The sequence below is a fragment of the Homo sapiens genome, chromosome 1, assembly GCF_000001405.40.
Source record: "Homo sapiens chromosome 1, GRCh38.p14 Primary Assembly".
Taxonomy (NCBI): domain Eukaryota; kingdom Metazoa; phylum Chordata; class Mammalia; order Primates; family Hominidae; genus Homo; species Homo sapiens.
Window position 1 is genome coordinate 51350645 of NC_000001.11, and position 20459 is coordinate 51371103.

At 39.3% G+C, this 20459-nt stretch overlaps 1 protein-coding gene across 8 annotated transcripts in view; it reads right to left on the reverse strand.

The window, feature by feature from the left end:
• Positions 1-3618: 3618 nt before the first annotated feature.
• The window catches only part of EPS15 (epidermal growth factor receptor pathway substrate 15), a 165004-nt gene continuing 148163 nt past the window's right edge, over positions 3619-20459 (reverse strand). For all 8 annotated transcript variants that reach the window (XM_017000618.3, NM_001410796.1, XM_017000617.3 and 5 more), the window contains 4 exons: positions 15309-15385; positions 13222-13384; positions 10527-10711; positions 3619-6202 (listed from right to left, as the gene is read on the reverse strand). In XM_017000618.3, coding sequence (XP_016856107.1) covers positions 6056-6202; positions 10527-10711; positions 13222-13384; positions 15309-15385 — 572 coding nt within the window. In that variant the 3' untranslated portion in view covers positions 3619-6055. The remainder of the gene's footprint in view (positions 6203-10526; positions 10712-13221; positions 13385-15308; positions 15386-20459) is intronic.

A 20459-nucleotide genomic window follows, 5' to 3' on the forward strand; every position in this document is an offset into this window, starting at 1 on the left:
CTTGGCCTCCCAAAGTGCTAGAATTACAGGCATGAGCCACCATGCTCAGCCGACTGCCTGGACCTGGGTTTGAATCCTAGCTCTGGTGCTTTTTAGCTCAGTGATCTTGGACAAGTTATTTAACCTCTTGTACTTCTCAGCCTTCTCATCTGTAAACTGGGAATAACAGTACCTAACTTAAAAGCATGTTATGGAGGTTAAATGAATCAGTATATATAAAGTACTTTAAATAGTACTGGGCACTAAGTACTATATAAGTGCTAACTTGCAATTATTATTTTTATTTTTGGAGAGAGAGTCTCACTGTCACCCAGGTTTGGAGTGCAGTGGCGTGGTCTTGGCTCACTGCAGCCTCCATCTCCAGGGTTCAAGTGATTCTCCTGCCTCAGCCTCCCGAGTGTAGCTGGGACTACAGGCATGCACCAACATGCCCAGCTAATTTTTGTATTTTTAGTAGAGCCGGGGTTTCACCACGTTGGCCAGGCTGGTCTCAAACTCCTGGCCTCAAGTGATCTGCCCACCTCGGCCTCCCAAAGTCCTGGGATTACAGGCATGAGCCACCATGCCCAGCCTGCAATTATTATTTTCAAAAAGTGTCTATCCATAAGAAAGATTAGATGTTACCAAGAAGCAGAATCCACAGGTCAAGTATAGAATGACAAGGTACTCTGCAACAGCACTGCAGAGTAAATGAATGGACTTAATAAAACTTGCTAACAAAAGAGACTTAGTTATCATCTACTCTAGTGGTTCTCAAAGTGAGGCCCCTGAGTCAACATCACCATCACCTGGGAACCTGTTAGAAATGTAAATTTGGGGGTCCAACTCTACAACCTACTGAATCAGAAATTCTGGGGCTAGAGTACAGCAATCTGTAGTTTGATACGCCCTCCAGGTGATCCTATTGCTTGCTACATTTTGTGTACTCCTTTCCCCTTACCACCTACATCTAATCAGACCTCAAGGCCTGTTAATTCTCCTAAATCTTTCTCAAATTGGTCCCCTTCTCTCAGTCCCAGCCACAACCACATTTTCAGTTCTTACCATCTCACCTGCATGACTGCAACAATCTTCCACCTGCTCTCCCTGCCTTACCTGATTTTCTTCTAAGGCAATTCCCCAAATCACCACCAATGAGATATTTCTTATAAACACAAACACCTCAGTCTTTTGCTCACAAACCTACACTCTAGTCACACTGAGCTACTTCAAACTCTTCACAACTTACTTTGCCTCCCTTTTTATGTACTCTTGCCAGAGCCTTGTCAGTACTGATAAATTAGTTTTCATTTTTTCTAGCCTTTTGGTTTTAAATCTTGTATTTAAAACAAGGTTGGGCTGAGCCATAATCCCAGCACTTTGGGTGGTTGAGGAGGGAGTATCACTTGAGTTCAAGGCCAGCCTGGGCAACACAGTGAGACCTCTATTTCTACTAAATAACTAACTAGGTCCAGTGGCATGCACTTATAGTCCTAGCTACTTGGGTGGCTGAGGCGGGAGGATCCCTTGAGCTCAGGAGTTCACAGTTACAGTGAGCTATGACTGTGCCACTGCACTCTAGCCTGGGCAACAGAATGTGACTCTGTCTCTACAAAAAAAGAAAAACTAAAAGCAAGGCTGGCTACTCCCCCCATATACTTATCACTTATGATAACACTAATAATCGTAAGTGCTTTCATGTGTCAGAAACTGTTCTAAACCCTCATACGAGTTAAATACAAGAATGAATGGGAAAATGTTTTATAAGATGCCATGTATAATATAGGTTTATTCCATTAATCCTCAAGAACAGTGATTACATGGATTATTTCTTTTGTGACACTGCTCCTCTGACTACTCATCATTAACAGGAATACAGAGTAGTGGTTAAAACTCTGGAGCCCATCTCCTAGGTTCAAATTCCAGCTCTACCACTTACTAGCTGCATAACTGTGGCCTAGTTTGGGTTCCTCCTCTGTAAAATGGAGAAGATAATAGTACCTGTACCTTTCATGGTTACTATTGTGAGGATTAAATAAATTAATAGTAAAGCATTTAGGATCATGCCTGGAGCTTAATAAATGTTATTTATTGTTATTTATGATGTCCTGTTCCTACCATTTCCTATAAGTAAATTTTTTTTTCACACAAAATAAAACAAAGCATGGTAAACTGAGAGTATCACACTTAGGACTAGACAGACCAGGTTCAGTTCCTGGCTCATCTTCTCATCAGCTGGATGATTTGAAGCACATTATTTTAAGGTTTTTGAGACTCAGTTTCTCCATTTCTAAAACAGGGGCTAACAACAATATCTACTACTTAGAGGTATTGTGAAGATTAAACAAGAAACAAGAAGACACACATAAAATGCCTAGTAGAGTGCTTCATATATAATGTACATTCAACAACCAACAGCTCTTTTCACTATTAGTAATACTGTGGTTGAATTTGCTTATTTAAAATAAATAATAAAAAGTTATCAAAGCTAAATCCTTTACAACAATCCTGTGAGTTAAGTACTGTGATGTACATTACATGAGGAAAATGAGGTTCAGGGAGGCGAAATAACTTTCTCAAAATCATCTTTACATTACATCCTCAAAAATGGCAGAAAGAGATTCAGTCCCAGTACTGTATGAGTTTTTCAGAACACAGTGCCTTCCAAAAGTCCATGTCACAATTTTTTTTTTTTTGATACAGAGTCTTACTCTGTTGCCCAGGCTGGGGTGCAGTGGCACAGTCTTGGCTCACTGCAACCTCCACCTCCCAAGCTCAAGCAATTCTCCTGCCTCAGCCTCCCAAGTAGCTGGGAATACAGGCACCCACCACCATGCCCGGCTAATTTTTGTATTTTTTATTAGACAGGGGTTTCACCATGTTGGCCAGGTTGGTCTTGAACTCCTGACCTCAGGAGATCCACCCACCTTGAACTCCCAAAGTGCTGGGATTACAAGCACAATGTTTTTTTTTTTTGAGACAGGGTCTTGCTCTGTTGCCTAGGTTGTAGTACAGTGGCACAATCCCAGCTTCTTGCAGCCTCACTGGGCTCAACCGATCCTCCCACCTCAGCCCCCAGTAGCTGGGACTACAGACACGCACCACCGCACCTGGCTAATTTTTGTATTTTTTTTGTAGAGACGGGGTCTCACCATGTTGCCCCAGGCTGGTCTCAAACTCCTGGGCTCAAGGGATCCTCCCACCTCAGCCTCCCAAAGTGCTGGGATTACAGGCATGAGCCACTGTGCCCAGTGACAAATTCTTTTTTCTTTTTGAGACGGAGTCTCACTCTGTCACCCAGGCTGGAGTCCAGTAGTGTGATCTCGGCTCACTGCAACCTCTGCCTCCTGGGTTCAAGCAATTCTCCTGTTTCAGCCTCCCGAGTAGCTGGGACTACAGGAGCGAGCCACTATGCCTGCTAATTTTTTCGTATTTTTAGTAGAGACGGGGTTTCACCATGTTCACCAGGTTGTTCTCGAACTCCTGACCTCAGGTGATCTGCCCACCTTGGCCTCCCAAAGTGCTGGGATTACAGGCGCGAGCCACTGTGTCCTGCCTACAAATTCTTATGTTTTAGGCACTGTCTTTATGCATATACATTTCATTTCTTTCATAAAAGCACGACATGATAACCAAAAATAATAGTTTACATTTATTATTTATTCTATACCAGGTGCTGTCCCAAACCCTTTACATATATTAATCTGTGCTGATTGTATGTACCTACTCCTCCTTGGACACAGCATGGACATAATCAGAGAACCATGCAAAACTCAATTGCAAATTGGATATATGGATGGGATTCTTTATTATTACTTAAAGTTTACTGTTCTCATAATTACAGGCTACAACTTAGAGGTTTGAAACTTTAAGAGAAAATTCTATAAAGAGAGCTCAAATAAACATGAATCAGTATGTAGAAGACATTTAAAACTTTGTAAGTAGTGCCACTTAGCTCTGGGCAATACTTATCTGTCCTTTTCAAGCACAGGCCCTGGAGCCAGAGTCAACAACATAAAATACCACAAACGACTCTAAGACATTCATCCTACACAAGCGAGCACATATACATATATATTTATATAATATATACATACTTTAATATTATGTTGGTCCACGGGGTATACACATTTTAACAAAAGATAAAAATCTATGTAATCCAGTTAAACATACATAAGATTAGGATACATTTATTACATTGAAAGTTGGTGTTTATAAGTTATAGATATTTAATATTTGAGTTTAATTGAAAATTTTTTTGAAGCATTTAAACATTTGCTTATTTTCCCAGTGCAAAAGAAAGTTGTTCAAGTCAACTTACCTTTATCCTAAGGAGTAAGAGGAAGAAAATAAACAAAAATACCACCTATCACAACTCCCAGTCAAATTTTGCAGAAAATCCTTAGGTCACTGGATTCGTTTATCAAAATTAAGCCTTGTGATTATGATTCAGCCCTTGCTTCATATGTATGACTTTTATGCAGAAATGTTTCTATTTACAAAGGTAGAAAAAAGTTAGCAGTGCAAGATAGTGGTTTAAAGTTTGTTTTAAACTGTAGGAGTCTAATTGTGTAATGGAAAGAAAACAAAACAAGCACCATTTCAAGAAGAAATGAATTGGATATTTTGGAATTTATTTATAGGCTAGGCAATAAGTTACTCAGATTAACACAGATCAATACCACCTTGACTTGTTGACCCAGAGAATTCTAATTAGATTTTAGGTGCATTTTTCTTTATCTTGGTATTTAATACATCATCTAAGTCAGTAACCGTGTTAAACAAAATTAAAATGACAAGTTACAGCTTACTTCACAGTCTATTTCAAATTCAGCTTGTCCACTAGGTCAGTTTTACAGGAGATGGTCTTTTAACATGAAGAGGTCTGATAATCTGGCAGGTCTCTTCTCTCCCAATTAAAAAAACAAGAGTTTTTTTGCTAGCTTGACAATTTTATAGGTGAAAAACATGAAGTGAGTAAATAAACTAAACCACAAAGATGGACAAAAAGCAATATGATATAAAACACATCACTTTTTCTATTTGTATTCAGTGAAAGTTTTTACATTTCAAGTAAATGAGCCTTCATTAAAAAAAAAAAAACAAATATATATGAAAAATTAAAGTACCTTCCAGTTCTAGCTTGCTGAAGTTTCTTCTGCAAAAGTACAAAAATTAACCCACTAAGAACTAAACAGGACAGGGCCACGGCAAAGGCAGAATGGCTGCCATGTTAAGACTTTTGCTTGCCTTATACTGATGGGTATATTTTAGGTGATAAATTTTCTCCACTATCTATCACTTAAAATGAACATTTTCTTACAAACTTTATTTGTAAGAAACTGATTTTTATTAATTAGCAAACACACTGAGAGGTATCTGTTGATCTAAAATTCTCTAAATCCAGATAAATCTTTTTAAAAATTTATTTCACACATGAGGCTTTAATATTTTTAGTTAGGAAAAGATCGAATCTGAGGCTATAATGGTTCAACCTACAGCATCCCTTTTCCATAGTGGAGTAAATCTGTGCAAAATATTTTTCCTTATCTCTGAAAAACAAATTAAGTAGAGGAAATTTAAAAATGCACTTTAGCCAATTTGCACCAATCATAAAAGAAATAAGATATTCTTTCCCTTACCCTCACTCAACCATTCCAATCAGGGGAGAATACTGCAAACTTTAAGAACCTCACTGGCTATCATCAGAATAACTACAGAACAGGGTAGTGCAGGGTGAAACTATTTCTCTATATTCCAGAAGGCAGAAGCTTGGGTGCTCTAGCTTTACAAGTAAAATAGCACAGGCAGGCAAAAGCTCACAGTAAATGTATACCAGAACAGGGGCCTAAGTGAAGGTGAATTTGTCTGACTGGGTTACGGCTTTTATAAGAAAAAAAAAAAAAGACGAATCTGTAATGAAGAAAAAAAAAAAATCCTAAAATTTTGTCACATTTACAGGAATCTCAAACCTTTTGTATTCCCATGCTCACAGGTAGTTTTGATACACATTGTAAATAGTTTCAGTATTCAGGAAGAAGAATACTATATTGTTGCCAAAGAACAAGAGAATTCTTCATGCTTCTGATATCTCAGATTTGCTGAGTGCAATAGCCAGTTCTAAGTCTTCTTGTTCCTGCTGATTTAGTCGGGCAAGCCTCTGCTCTTCCTCTCTCTCACTTTCCCTCTTGGCCCATTCGATCATATCTTCTTCAGAGGGATACTGCCATTTAAAAGATCGATGAACAAACGAATAAATAAATGAGTAAAGCAAGTAAAAAGAAGGAAAAATAGTTTTTACAAAAGGACACCTGAAGGACTCTGGAAATAGTCTGGTTACTTGTTAATTCTTTTTTTTTTCCCCCTGAAAACATGTTTAATATTAACCAGTTATTAAGCTATAGTTTAATTTAAAAAATTAATTCAATCTATAGATAGAAAGTCTATAAAACTAAATGTTAAAAATGCCACTAGGCTAGATGTGGTGGCTCATGCCTGTAATCCCAGCACTTTGGAGGCTGAGGCAGGTGGATCACCTGAGGTCAGGAGTTCGAGACCAGCTTGGCCAACATGGCAAAACTCGCTCTCAACTAAAAATACAAAAATTAGCTGGGCATGGTGGTGGTGCCTGTAATCCCAGCTACTTGGGAGGGTGAGGCACATGAATCACTTGAACCCAGGAGGCAGAGGTTGCAGTGAGCCGAAAATGCACCCCTGCACTCCAGCCTGGGTGACAAAGTGAGATTCCATCTGAAAAAAAAAAAAAAAATATATATATATATATATATATATATATATATATATTTTTTTTTTTTAAATGTGATATATATATATATATATCTCACTAAAAAAAGTAGAAATGCTTATAGTAGATTAGAAGATTTAAAAACAGGACAGGGCTAGCCTTTTTGACCTAATGTAATGTAAAATATTTACCACTTCAACTTTACTGAGACCCTCACACAACAAATCATTTTTAATTTAATCCCACTGGTAGTTTCCTAACCCTTAATGTGTAAAAAAGCTAAGAAGCAAGAAAAAAAAAAAAAAGCTGATTTTGCTATACATCATATTAAAGTATTGGGTATACTAAGCAAGATGTGATTTAAACCTAATCTTTTTTTTTTTTTTTTGAGACAGAGTTTTCGCTCTTGTTGCCCAGGCTGGGTGCTATGGAGCAATCTTGGCTCACCACAACCTCCGCCTCCCGGGTTCAAGCGATTCTCTTGCCTCAGCCTCCCGAGTAGCTGGAATTACAAGCATGCACCACCACGCCCGGCTAATCCTGTATTTTTAGTAGAGATAGGGTTTCTTCATGTTGGTTAGGCTGATCTCGAACTCCTGACCTCAGGTGATCCGCCCATCTCGGCCTCCCAAGAACCTAATCATATTTTATAAAAAGCATTTTGAGCCAGGCATGGTGGCTGACATCTGTAATCCTAGTTCTGTGGGTGTGGGCCAATTGCTTGAGCTCAGAAGTTCAAGAAGTTCATCTTGGCAACATGGCAAAACTCTGTTTTTACAAAAAAAATTAGCCAGGTGTGGTGGTGCACATCTGTAGTTCCAGCTACCTGGGAGGATCACCTGAGCCTGGGAAGTTGAGGCTGCAGTGAGCTGTGATCATACCACCGCTCTCCAGCCAGATCGACGGAGTGAGCCAAAAAAAATAAAAATAAAACAAAAAGCATTATGAAGATTTCTCCAGGCTTTGGGAACTTTTAGACCAGTCTAAATAAAATCTTAACACTCATAATTATTATGTTGGGGAAATATTTTTATCTACCCCAAACAGCAACCTTGGCAAATACTAAATTAAAAATTCTAATTGGTTTCAAGTCTTGTTACATAGAAAATCCTTCATGAAAGGATGAAATAAAATACACTGTCAGGCTTTTGAAATGGTAGTTTTTTTCCCTAGGGAATTAAGCAAAACTTTGAAACGTGTAATGCTTAACCACATCTTTCACAATGAAAAAAGAAGATGTTCTTATTATAAGCTGTTTTTTATTATACTATATTGAGATTTTGGAGCAAAATGCCTCAGCTGTTGTTCAAGACTCCTTCCAACCAGATTTGTTTTTTTTTGTTTTTTTTTTTTTTTTTGAGGCGGAGTCTCGCTCTGTAACTCAGCTTGAGGACAGTGGCACTATATCAGCTCCCGCAACCTCTGCCTCTGGGGCTTAAGTGATCCTCCCACCTCAGCCTCCCTAGCTGGGATTACAGGCATGCGCCACCATGCCTGGCTAATTTTTGTATTTTTAGTAGAGACGGGGTTTCACCATGTTGGCCAGGCTGGTCTCACACTCCTGACCTCAAGTGATCCGCCCGCTTCGGCCTTCCAAAGTGCTGGGATTACAGGTGTGAGCCACCCCGTCTGGCCCCAACAAGAGTTTGACTTGCTAAAACCATACTTAAGATATTAAATGCCACAAACTACCAGAGGGTTATTTTACACTAAGAGAATTATAACCTTCTAAAAAGGCCAATTTTTGATTCTCTGCTTGAAACAAATCAAATTCCATCTAATGAAAGTTAAGTCGGGCTGGATGCGGTGGCTCACCCCTGTAATCCCATCACTTTGGGAGGCCAAGGCATGCACATTGCAAGATCAAGGGATCGAGACCATCCCGGCCAACATGGTGAAACCCCGTCTCTACTAAAAACACAAAAATTGGCTAGGTGTGGTGGTGCGTGCCTGTAGTCCCAGCTACTTGGGAGGCTGAGGCAGGAGAATTGCTTGAACCTGGGAGGTGGAGGTTGCAGTGAGCTGAGATTACGCCACTGCACTCCAGCCTGGCGACAGAGCAAGACTCTGTCTTTAAAAAAAAAAAAAAAAAAAAGGAAAGTTAAGTAAGGCTGGGCGCGATGGCTCACACCTGTAATCCCAACACTTTGAGAGGCTGAGGCCGGTGGATCGCCTGAGATCAGGAGTACAAGACCAGCCTGACCAACATGGAGAAACCCCGTCTCTACTAAAAATACAAAATTAGCCAGGTGTGGTGGGTATGCCTGCAATCCCAGCTACTCGGGAGGCTGAGGCAGGAGAATTGCTTGAACCTGGGAGGTGAAGGTTGTGGTGAGCCAAGATCGCGCCTCCAGCCTGGGCAATAAGAGCAAAACTCATCTCAAAAAAAAAAAAAAATCAGTATAATTCTGGCACTCCATTTTTACAATATTCAAAATATTGATTCCTATTTTGCTCCTTCATAGTCAAGAGAAGCCACCAGAACTTAGAGTACAGATTCAAAAGCTGGGAGCTCAGTCGTCTTAGTTGCATGCAGATTCTTTTTTTTTTTGGAGACAGGGTCTGGCTCTGTCACCCAGGCTGAAGTACAGTGGCATGATCACAGCTCACTGCAACCTCCACCACCTCAGCCCCCCAAGTAGCTGGGACTACAGGTGCTTAAAGCACTTTGGCCTCTTAAAATGCTGAGATTACAGGCGTGAGCCACCACGCCCGGCCTGCATGCAGATTCTTGACTACCTCCCTTCTAACTAGAAACAGCTGCAGGAATAAAGCAATTGGTTGAATGGCCCAATGCTACACTGAGGAGGGAAATATTAGGCAGAGTTACCTGGCCACTAGATCTATTTCCAAAATCATCTCAAGGGCATAAGGTGATAAATAGAAGAAAATCTCTGTTTTATAGAACAGGCAATGATAACGAAGGTTATTTTGCCTGAAAAAACTGTGAAACTGAAAATTTGTTACCCGGTCTAAGAATTTTATTAAAAAATAACTTTTTTTACTGAATAATGATGGAATATATGACATTGCTTTATGTCTCTCTAGACTGATACCTCCATGGTTGGTTGCCCCATTTCTGTGATTTTATAGGCCCTGCTTATGCTGTTATCATGGCACCCTTCCACTGTTTCTAACGATCTTCCTATTTTAGACATCTCTGAAAGAACGCAGAGTAAACATGAGAAGTTAGTGAATTAGGGCCCTCCAAATAAAGATTGTTTAAATCCTGACAACCATTTATTTATTTATTTCATAAAACTGGCATTTACATTTTTAAAAAGCTACTGTGTAAGTTTAATAGTTTTACTTTCTATTCAAAGAATCTCTGGCTCTATCCTCTCATATAATATTTGCTGACTGGTCTCCAGAAATCATTAAAACTTTATACACAAACACACATACACAGCTGCAAATACACAAACTTATTACTGGCATTATTCATCTAGTGGGCAGAGAGCAATGACTCTGTAATTGTTCATTAAATCACCATCACCCATAACCATCCACAAAATAATAACTGTTAGGATTTTACTTACATTACCAAGACTAAGAGAAAGATTTACAAAACAACTTGTGTATATGACAAGAACTGGGACTACTAAAATCATCTGTGCGATGGAACAACCGTAGAACTGTCAAAACAGGATCAAACAGAGGTTTTGCTTGGGGGAAGAATGAAAGATCATTTTTAGTATCTTGGTAAATTTAGTTAAAATGATGCAAACTTGGCAGACTCCAAAATAATCTCTGAAAACTCTTTAAAGATTTCTCCCCCAAACAGCTCATTCACAGTACTTACAGCACTGAAGTTGGCAAAATTGCTTGGATCAGCCTCTTTATTGGTAGTGGTAGTAGCAGAAGTGAATGGATCACAAAATATTTCAGGATCTTTTTCTTTGGGGCTATCGTTGCCTGGGAAAGGCTGAAATGGATCATTCAGTTTAAAGGGATCAGGAGAATCCAATTTGTTGATGGATCTTTTCCCTGGATCAAAATCATTACAATTAATTCAACCAGTAAATACAGCAAATACAAGCACACAAGAACATGTACACAGATAGCATTAAAGTACTGTGGGTAGAGGATGATTGAGTACCTAAAACACATTCTGAATATTGTCTTAAATAGCTACACCAACAATTTGTCCTCAAATTCTTCACACATGATCTCTCAAATAGATTCCAGCTATGTGCAGCTAATGAAACAAATAGCAAAGTAAGGATGGGCCAGGAATCATATTTTTGTCCAAAGACTGAATCCCACCATCCCCTAGCCACACCCAAGCAGCATGTTCCCAAAAGGAGAGACGAATGGATTAAACAGAAGGAGAATAATAAAGAATAAAGACAGAAATGGCCTGCCTCTGCTGTTACAGCCCTCAGCCTGATAACAGTTATCCACTAGTGGCAGTAAGAGCAAATGACCTCTGAAAACTGGGAAAATTCTTCTGATTTTTCTCTAGTTCTACATACAATACCTAAGAGCATAAAATTTTTAAATTACCGTAGTAAAATGCTGCCAATTTTTTGTTATTTACTGTATTTCAAAATGAAGAAAAAATGTTTTGAAGCCCAGGGCCTAAATCTTTGCGGTTGCTGATCAAATAATCTCTGACCAAACAATAGTATTCTGTCCTATTAGTCACTCACTAATTCATTACCATTTTCAAACAAGTTCTCTAAGTCTTACTTAAACTTAGTACTTCTTGAAGAAAAGATAATAAAAATAGGGGTCAAAATATCTCCAAATATATTTTTTTCCTAAAATGCATAAGCTGGTAATAGCAATCATAACAACAGATTCCATCACTGTAGCTGCTTAGAAAAGATGCTCATATCTCAATGGATTCTTCCAATAATCCTGTGAAAGTAGGCAAAATTAGAATTACTGCCAACATTTAATAGCCAAGGGTCAGATATATGAAATTATACACTTAAGATCATAGTTAGTCAGGGAACATCCAGAAACAGAACCCAGATATTTAGACTCCCAGTTTAGTGCTCTTTCCAACAAACCAGTCTTTTCCTTAATCTTTTTACAATGATATACAATTACTTGGATGAAGATTCTTAGATTGAGCAAAAACACTAGCATATTATTTTACTTAAGATTTAAAAAAACAACCTCACTATTGGCATCATGCAAGTTGTAAAAACTTAAATGTGCAAATTAACCATTATTTATTTTTAAATATATTCTGATAACCTCACTTCTAGAAATATATGACATAAGCTACCTTTCCTTAGAAGGAATCACTTAACTCATTTACCTGATTTTTCAACAGATTATCGGATATTTACAATTGTACATGCAATTCTTTCAGTCAAAGAAAAAAAACCTATCTGCTCAAGACCATGGAAAGGTTATGATGAAAAGGCAATATTAATCTGTAACTACTGAGACTGAAAATTTCCCAAGGAATGAGGTATGATTTAAAAAAAAATATACTAAGATGTGTCTTCTCACATAATACCCCAACAGCACTACAACTACTCAAGGAATTATCCTTTTAGCCACTTATTATGACCTAAAAACAAAACAAACTTTCCTTTGTATAGTGCTAAACATATACATACACACACATACTAATTATACATAGAAACAAACAAAAATAAGAAACAAATCACTATTAGAAAAGAGTCTTGGCCAGGTGCAGTGGCTCACACCTGTAATCCCAGCACTTTGGGAGGCCGAGGTGGACAGATCACTTGAGGTCAGGAGGTAGAGACCAGCGTGGCCAACATGGTGAAACCCCATCTCTGCTAAAAATACAAAAATTAGCCAGGCATGGTGGATCATGCCTATAATCCCAACTACTCGGGAGGCTGAGGCAGGAGAATCCCTTGAATCCGGGAGGCTGAGGTTACAGTGAGCTGAGATCATGCCACTGTACTCCAGCCTGGGCAACAGAGCGAGATTCCATCTCAAAAAAAAAAAAAAAAAAGAGGAATATTTTAAGTTAGCTAAAATACCATTTTCCTTCAAGAAAACCAATACTTTGTTTCAAATCACTGTATTGCTGAATTCTGGATACTAAAGAGGCCATATATTCTCACATTAAAGGATTTAAGGAAGACTTTATACTTTACAGGAAAAGGACTTTGAAACAATCTTCTCTTAAATAAATTATAATTAAAACACCAAAGTACAGGAAACTGCTATTCAAATGGATAATCAATGAGTTTCCAAAAGGCAAAAAGATTTTCTTGACACTTTCCCTTTTCCATTGATTGCCTCTCTGAAATGATTAAGTTAAAAAAAAGAAAAGAAAAAAGGTCTTAGCAGAAAGACAGCTCATGAAATTTATACATGCTGACTTCTTAAGTGCATGTCTGTAATTCAGCAGTTAGGTCAGAATGAATGACAGCAGCAGGCTTCTGACATATGTTTGACTTGTTTCACTTAAAGCCATTTATATAAGTAAGTTCCGCACAATACTTTTCAGAAAGAGAAAAGCCATGCAGTTGACTGAAGAAAAGTACCAACTCTCATACCAGGTGGTAGAGGGCAGGGTCTTGTTGGAGTTCCGATCTTTGGTGGCAGTGCTGGGGGTTCATCTTCACTTTTGACCGATGTTTCCTCAAATACATTTTTTGTAATCACTACGTTGCTGACAGAGCTCGATGTGGCTGAACGAAAAGGATCTTCATTGTTGACCTTTGTTTAAAAAGAAATGGTTATACATGGCTATACCAAGCAAATTGTGGTAGTCATGTAGCATTCAGAATAATGATTTCAGTATTATACAGTTTTATTTATTTTAATTCTGAGAACACTGAAATTTTAACCTTTGCATTCAGGGTCCAATGGGAGAAATTTCTGAAAAAAAAGTTATTCTATATGAGGAGTGATTCTAACATCATTACTTATTAAGATTAACAGATCAAACCAAAAACAGCTCAATCTAGATTAAAGGTTTGTCAAGCTTCAGGAAATATTCAATGCAAAAACCACCTGAGGCCCATTTTAAAGGGACTGTATGCCTTTCCGCAAACGAATATCTGATCTAAATGGTAATCAAAGGAAAAAAAATGGATTCCATACGTCCTAATGAACTTAAATATAAGATTTAATACTAATGCAAGGAAAATGGCATCTTGACAAACTATAAGGACAACTTGAAAGTCAATTTTTTTTTTTTTTAATTTAAAAGGCAGGAGTCTCCCAAGCTGGAGAGCAGTGGCACAATCATAGCTCACTGCAGCCTTGAACCCCTGGGCTCTAGGGATCCTCCTGCCTCAGCCTCTCGAATAGCTAGGACTACAGGTGTGTACCACCACGCCTAGTTATTTTTTTAATTTTTATTTTGTAGAGATGGAGTTTCGTTATGTTGCCCAGGCTGGTCTCGAACTCCTGGGCTCAAGCAATCCTCCCATCTCAGCCTCCCAAGATGCTGGGATTACAGGCTTGAGTTACTGCACCCAGCCTGAAAGTCAATTTTTTGAAGCAAACTGATCCCATAAAAGGATAATTTTTTTTTTTGAGACAAGGTCTCACTCTAAGGTTGGAGTACAGTGGCGCAATCTAGGCTCACTGCAACCTCTGCCTCTTGGGCTCATGTGATCCTCCCGCCTCAGCCTCCTGAGCAGCTGGGATTACAGGTGCGTGCCGGCATGCCTGACCAATTTTTTGTGTTTTTTGGTCAAGACGAGGTTTCACCACATTGCCCAGGCTGGTCTTGAACTCCTGAGCTCAGACAATCCACCTGCCTTGGCCTCTCAAAGTGCTGGGATAACAGGCATGAGCCACCGCGCCTGGCTGGAATGATAAATCTTAATGTGTGTCTGAAGACCCTTTCAAATATGTAACAAAAGATTAACTTTTCTATAATGAATCAGACTTCACAATTTTACATTTATTTAGGTAATGCTCAACATTGACATTTCAGGCTGGACGTAATTGCATATTGTGGGGGGCTAGAGAGTGGACTGTATTAAATAGCATCCCTCATCTCTATCCACTAGATGTAAGTAGCATCTCCTATTCAATTGTGAAAACCAAAAAGGTCTCTAGACATTGCCAAATGTTCCTCTGGTGGCAAAATAACCCTCAGTTGAGAACCAAGGAACCAACAATCTAATCCTCCTTTTCTCTTAGCCCGAATCAATATCACAGCCACAGTGGAAAGTAAATAGTGGACATTTAGTACTGGACTTTGTGTATTAATTACCTTAATACTGGCCCTAACAACCTCAGAACATAAAATCAAGTAACCAATACAGAGAGGACGAAATAAAAACCCAGATTTTACACCTATTGACCCAGACAGTCAACAGGGGGAAAATGTGGTTCAATTGGGAGAAACATGTTTAAAAAGACAGAAGACTAAATATGAAGTTGTTAAGCAAACATGCCAACAGAAAATTATAATTACCTCTACCATCAATACAGTCTAGTTATATAAAGAAATATGTCTACTTTAACTATATGTTATCTTTCATTTCTATCTGAAATCAACATTTGCTGTGATTTACTGAAATCAAGTTGCAACTTTGTGAGAGGACTATATAATTGAAAGGAGGATTGTTCTTTTGGTGGAAACACAGTATGTTTTCCCTTCCCATTAATTACTGTAGATTACCTTTGACAATGTGCTGAAGTCAGCAAATCCACCTCCAAATGATTCATTCCCAAAAACAGAAGCAAAGGGGTCTGTGGCTAAAATGAATAAAGAAAATAAATGAAACAGGACAGTAAGACATTTTTTTTTTTTGAGACAGAGTCTCACTCTGTCCACCCAGCCTCAAGAGCAGTGGTACGATCATGGCTCACTGCAGCCTCAATCTCCCAGGCTCAAGTGATCCTCCCACCTCAGCCTCCTGAGTAGCTGGGACTACGGGTATGCACCACCATGCCTGACTAATTTTTGTGTTTTTTGTAGATATGGGGTTTTGCCATGTTGTCCAGGCTGATCCCAAACTCCTGGGTTCAAGTGATCCTCCTGCCTCAGCCTCCCAGAGTGCTGGAATTATAGGCATGAGCCACCAAACCCAGCCAAGGCATCAAATTTCATGTTTTCTTTTGGTTAATCACATTCAGACAGTTGAAAACATACAATCTCAAATATTAATTCCTGAATTTATGACTGACACCCACAAAGACAGACTGTATACTGATAACCCCACAAGATGTATTCCTTTGTATAAATCAACTGATGAATGATTTATAGGTAAAGTAATAGCAAATAAAGTAATGATTTATAGGTAAAGTACAGGTAAAGGAACAACTAGATGATTTATAGGTAAGGCTTTGGAACACATTTCAAATAATATAGCTCCTATGAACTTAAATCACTGCTAATAAAGACATCAAGAAGTACAAAAAGCTAATATAATACCATTAATGCCACATTTCACACTCATCCTTCAAGACATATTTCAAATGCTACCTCATCAACAAACCCTGGAGTAACTTAGGTGTCACTACTTCCCACAGCAAGAAGTAATTTTTTCCTTCTCTGCGGCACTAATGGCATTCTAGTTTGTACCATGGTTACCTGTAATTGATCACCTTTATTAGATGGTAAGGTCCTTGAAAACAGGCAATAAGTCCTATCCAAAGAATGGACAGTCAACAAACATTTGTTGACCATATACCAAGTCTGAGAAAATAAAATGATACAAATTTCTACCCTTGAAAAAGTTCAGTCTAGTAAAAGATATGTAAACAAATAATAATAAAACAGTCTTATATGGGTTATGAAAGAGGTATGAAAAACCTGTAGTGGGAGTCACTAACTGCCTGGGTGAATCTGGAAACGGAGCAAAGAAGCCATTACATTCAGCTTTTAAATAAAATCTTTTGAGTAAGAAATGGAGTTTACCAAATAGATAAACACGGGGAAGAGAAACCAGGCTACCAGGCAGAAGGAACAGTAACTACAAAAGTATATTTAACAGGCCAGGTGCAGTGGCTCACGCCTGTAATCCCAGCACTTTGGGAAACATAGGTGGGCAGATCACTTGAGGCCAGGATTTCGAGACCAGCCTGGCCAACACAGCGAAACCCTCTCTCTACTAAAAATACAAAAAATTAGCTGGGCGTGGTGGTGCGTGCCTGTAATATCAGCTGCTTGGGAAGCTGAGGCAGGAGAATCGCTTGAACCCAGGAGGCGGAGGTTGCAGTGAGCTGAGATCATGACACTGCACTCCAGCCTGGGCGACAGAGCGTGTCTGTCTCCAACAAACAAACAAACAAAGTATATTTAATCAATGTTTCACAGGCCTGAGAAGTTGTTTCTTCCATCACATTGCACTTACCAAGCAGACTAACATTTTCAGCTGGAATGAATGATCTACTCTGAGATAGGCTTCACCCATTCAGGTGTAAGGGCTACCAATAACGTCAAAGAATGTTTATAGGAATTGCTGCCTGATACAGGAAGATGGAAAGAAACAAAGCAAACAGTTGGAAAGGAAGGCAAGGAAAGAACTGCAAAAGAGAAGGCAAGACAAAGAGGCACAGAAAAGTTCTCCTCAGGCCGGGCACAGTGGCTCACGCCTGTAATCCCGGCACTTTGGGAGGCCGAGGCGGGCAGATCACCTGAGGTCAGGAGTTTGAGACCAGCCTGGCCAACACGGTGAAACCCCGTCTCTACTAAAAATACAAAAATTAGACGGGCATGGTGGCACACGCCTGTAATCTCAGCTACTCAGGAGGCTGAGGCAGGAGAATCACTTGAACCTGGAAGGTGGAGGCTGCAGTAAGCTGAGATTGCGCCACTGCACTCCAGCCTGGGCGACAGAGCAAGACTCCGTCTCAAAAAAAATAAAATAAAATAAAAAAAGAAAAGTTATCCTCAAACTATTCTTAGAACAAAAGTGTGCCTATCCGCCCATTTGAATGTGTAAAGTGTGCCCGTATCTCTAAAAATGAGTATATCTTGGACATAAAAAGAGGAGCAAAGAAGATACACTATTTTTGTTTGCTTTGTCACCAAACATTTCGTCACCAAGACAGCTGTAGGCAAAGGGTAGCCCAAGTGGGAAAAAGGAGTGGGTGGAAGCATAGAGAAATCAGGCCTTTAGGGATATACCAGCAACTCTGATCCTGAAGAGGATGTTGGAAGTTCAGGGTTATAGGAAATCCTATAATTCTAGCTATAAAAGATGGCCTTTTCATTGATACATATCTGCTGAATCCTCAGCCTAGGGCCCAGCCTCATCATAGGTAGTTTCAGGGTTTCCCTTCTTTCTGTCCTTTTCCTGTTATTTTTCTTTTTTGTTTCTTTTTTTTTTTTTTTGGAGATGGAGTCTCGCCTGTGTCACCCAGGCTGGAGTGCAGTGGCACGATCTCGGCTCACTGCAACCTCTGCCTCCCAGATTCAAGTGATTCTCGTGCCTCAGCCTCCCACGTAGCTGGGAATACAGGTGTGTGCCACCACACCTGGCTAATTCTTTCTTTGTATTTTTAGTAGAGACGGGGTTTCACTATGTTGGCCAGGCTGGTCTCAAACCTCTGACCTCAAGCAATCTGCCGGCCTAAGCCTCCCAAAGTGCTGGGATTATAGGCCACGTGCCCGGCTCCTGTTATTTCTGATGCTGAGGTAGCTAAGGCACAGCCTGAGTGGGGTGAAGATGCTCTCCCTGACTGCTGACAAGGGAAAAAGAGTTGGGCTCATTTCACTTGTGGGACTGAAAATTTGCTTCATGCCTTTTCTCTGTCCTGTCCCACAGCCTTTACAAGTCACAACATGTGTGCAATAGCCTCAGTTAGGTCAGATTTGACTGGAATATTGTGAAGCATATATTGTGAACAAAATTAATTTTAAAAAGGACACTTCTATATGAAGAATATATAGTACCTTACTAAAGAGTTTTTCTACACTTTCCTCATAAATGACCTATTTAGCACTAGTCTAAACACTGCAGAAAGACAAATCTTAGATGAATGACAAATAACTTTCTCAGATACTGATCATGGTTGATTTGAGGCAGAGGCCCGTTCAGAAAGCAGGACTCAATGAGTTCAACTTGTTCAGATCACGCGTAAGATACCTGCTGGGGGGAGTTCCAGAAACACTTTTAGAGAAACCATGCAGGTGACTTTCTTCCTCTTGGTGTACACAGGGGCTATGAGCCAGCAGAACTGGGCTTTAGCTGCACTTATGACCTCATTAGTACCGCCTTTCCCCAAAGAATAAAGGTAATGAATGCTTTGGAAAAATATATAAAAGTATAATTTAAAAATCATCCCTAAATCTCACTATCAGAAATAACCCTTATGAATATTTCAGCATACTTCTTTAACAGCCTTTATTCCTGGTATTTTTTTCTTACATATTTGAGATCATGCTATGCTGATACGGTTTTTTGTGAAGGTGTACATGAAAAAGCTACATTTTAGGTATATCACTTTTTATCCCTTACCCTGATTTAATCACAGTACTCATCAGTATTTGACATATATTTGTTCATTGCCTATCTTTCTTATACAAACTCTATGAAGACAGGAACTTTGTTTTGTTCACAGCTGTATCCTCAAGGCCTAGCACAAGGTCTGGAAACTAGGAGATGCTCATATTTGTTGAAAATATGCAAAGAAAAAAGGGACAGAAACTGTCTATTAAGAATCGTCCAAACAAATATAACATTTCTTAGCATAACCAGATGAATAACAAGGAATAAGGGAAACCAATTTTAAGGCTCACAAATAATTCCCTGAAAAACAGCTATCTACCAGAAATCTTGACATATGCCACATAACAATGTTTGGTCAACAACAGGCTACATATATGATGGTGGCCCAGTAAGATTATAATTGGGCTAAAAAATTCCTATCACCTAATGACTTCATAGCCATCATAATATCCATAGTCCAATGCATTACTCATGTGTTTGTGGTGATGTTGGTGTAAACAAACCTACTGTGTTGCCAGTCGTATCAAAGTATAGCACACACGATTATGTGGAGTACACAATGCAGGCTGAGTATCCCTTATCTGAAATGCTTGGGAGAAGGAGTGTTTTGGATTTCAGATTTTTGCAGATTTTGGAATATTTGCACTGTATATGCTTATAAGTTGAGTACTCCAAATCCAAAAATCCTGAAACCAAAAATGCTCCAATAAGCATTTCCTTGGAGCATCATATCAGTGCTCAAAAAGGTTTAGATTTTCAAATTTTAGATTTTTCAGACCTTGGATGCTCAACCCGTATTTGATAATAATAATAAACAACTATGTTACTGGTTTACATATTTACTATACTATAGTTTTTAATCGTTATTTTATTATTATTTTGTTTGTTAGGCTGTTTTTTTTTTTTTAAAGACAGAGTCTCACTCTGTAGCCCAGGCTGGAGTGCAGTGGCATAACCTCAGCTCACCGAAACCTCCGCCTCTTGGGTTCAAGCAATTCTCCTGCCTCAGCCTCCTGAGTAGCTAAGATTATAGGCACGTACCACCATGCCTGGCTAATTTTTGCACTTTTAGTAGAGATAGGGTTTCGCTGTTGGCCAGGCTGGTCTCGAACTCCTGACCTCAGGTGATCCACCCACCTCAGCCTTCCAAAGTGCTGGGATTACAGGCATAAGCCACCATGCCCACCCTATTTTGGTTTTTTTGAGATGGAATCTTGCTCTGTTGCCCAGGCTGGAGTGCGGTCGTGCGATCTCATCTCACTGCAACTTCCACCTCCCGGGTTAAAGCGATTCTTGTGCCTCAGCCTCCGAGTAGCTTGCATTACAGGTGTATGCCACCACACCCAGCTAATTTTTTTTGTATTTTTTAGTAG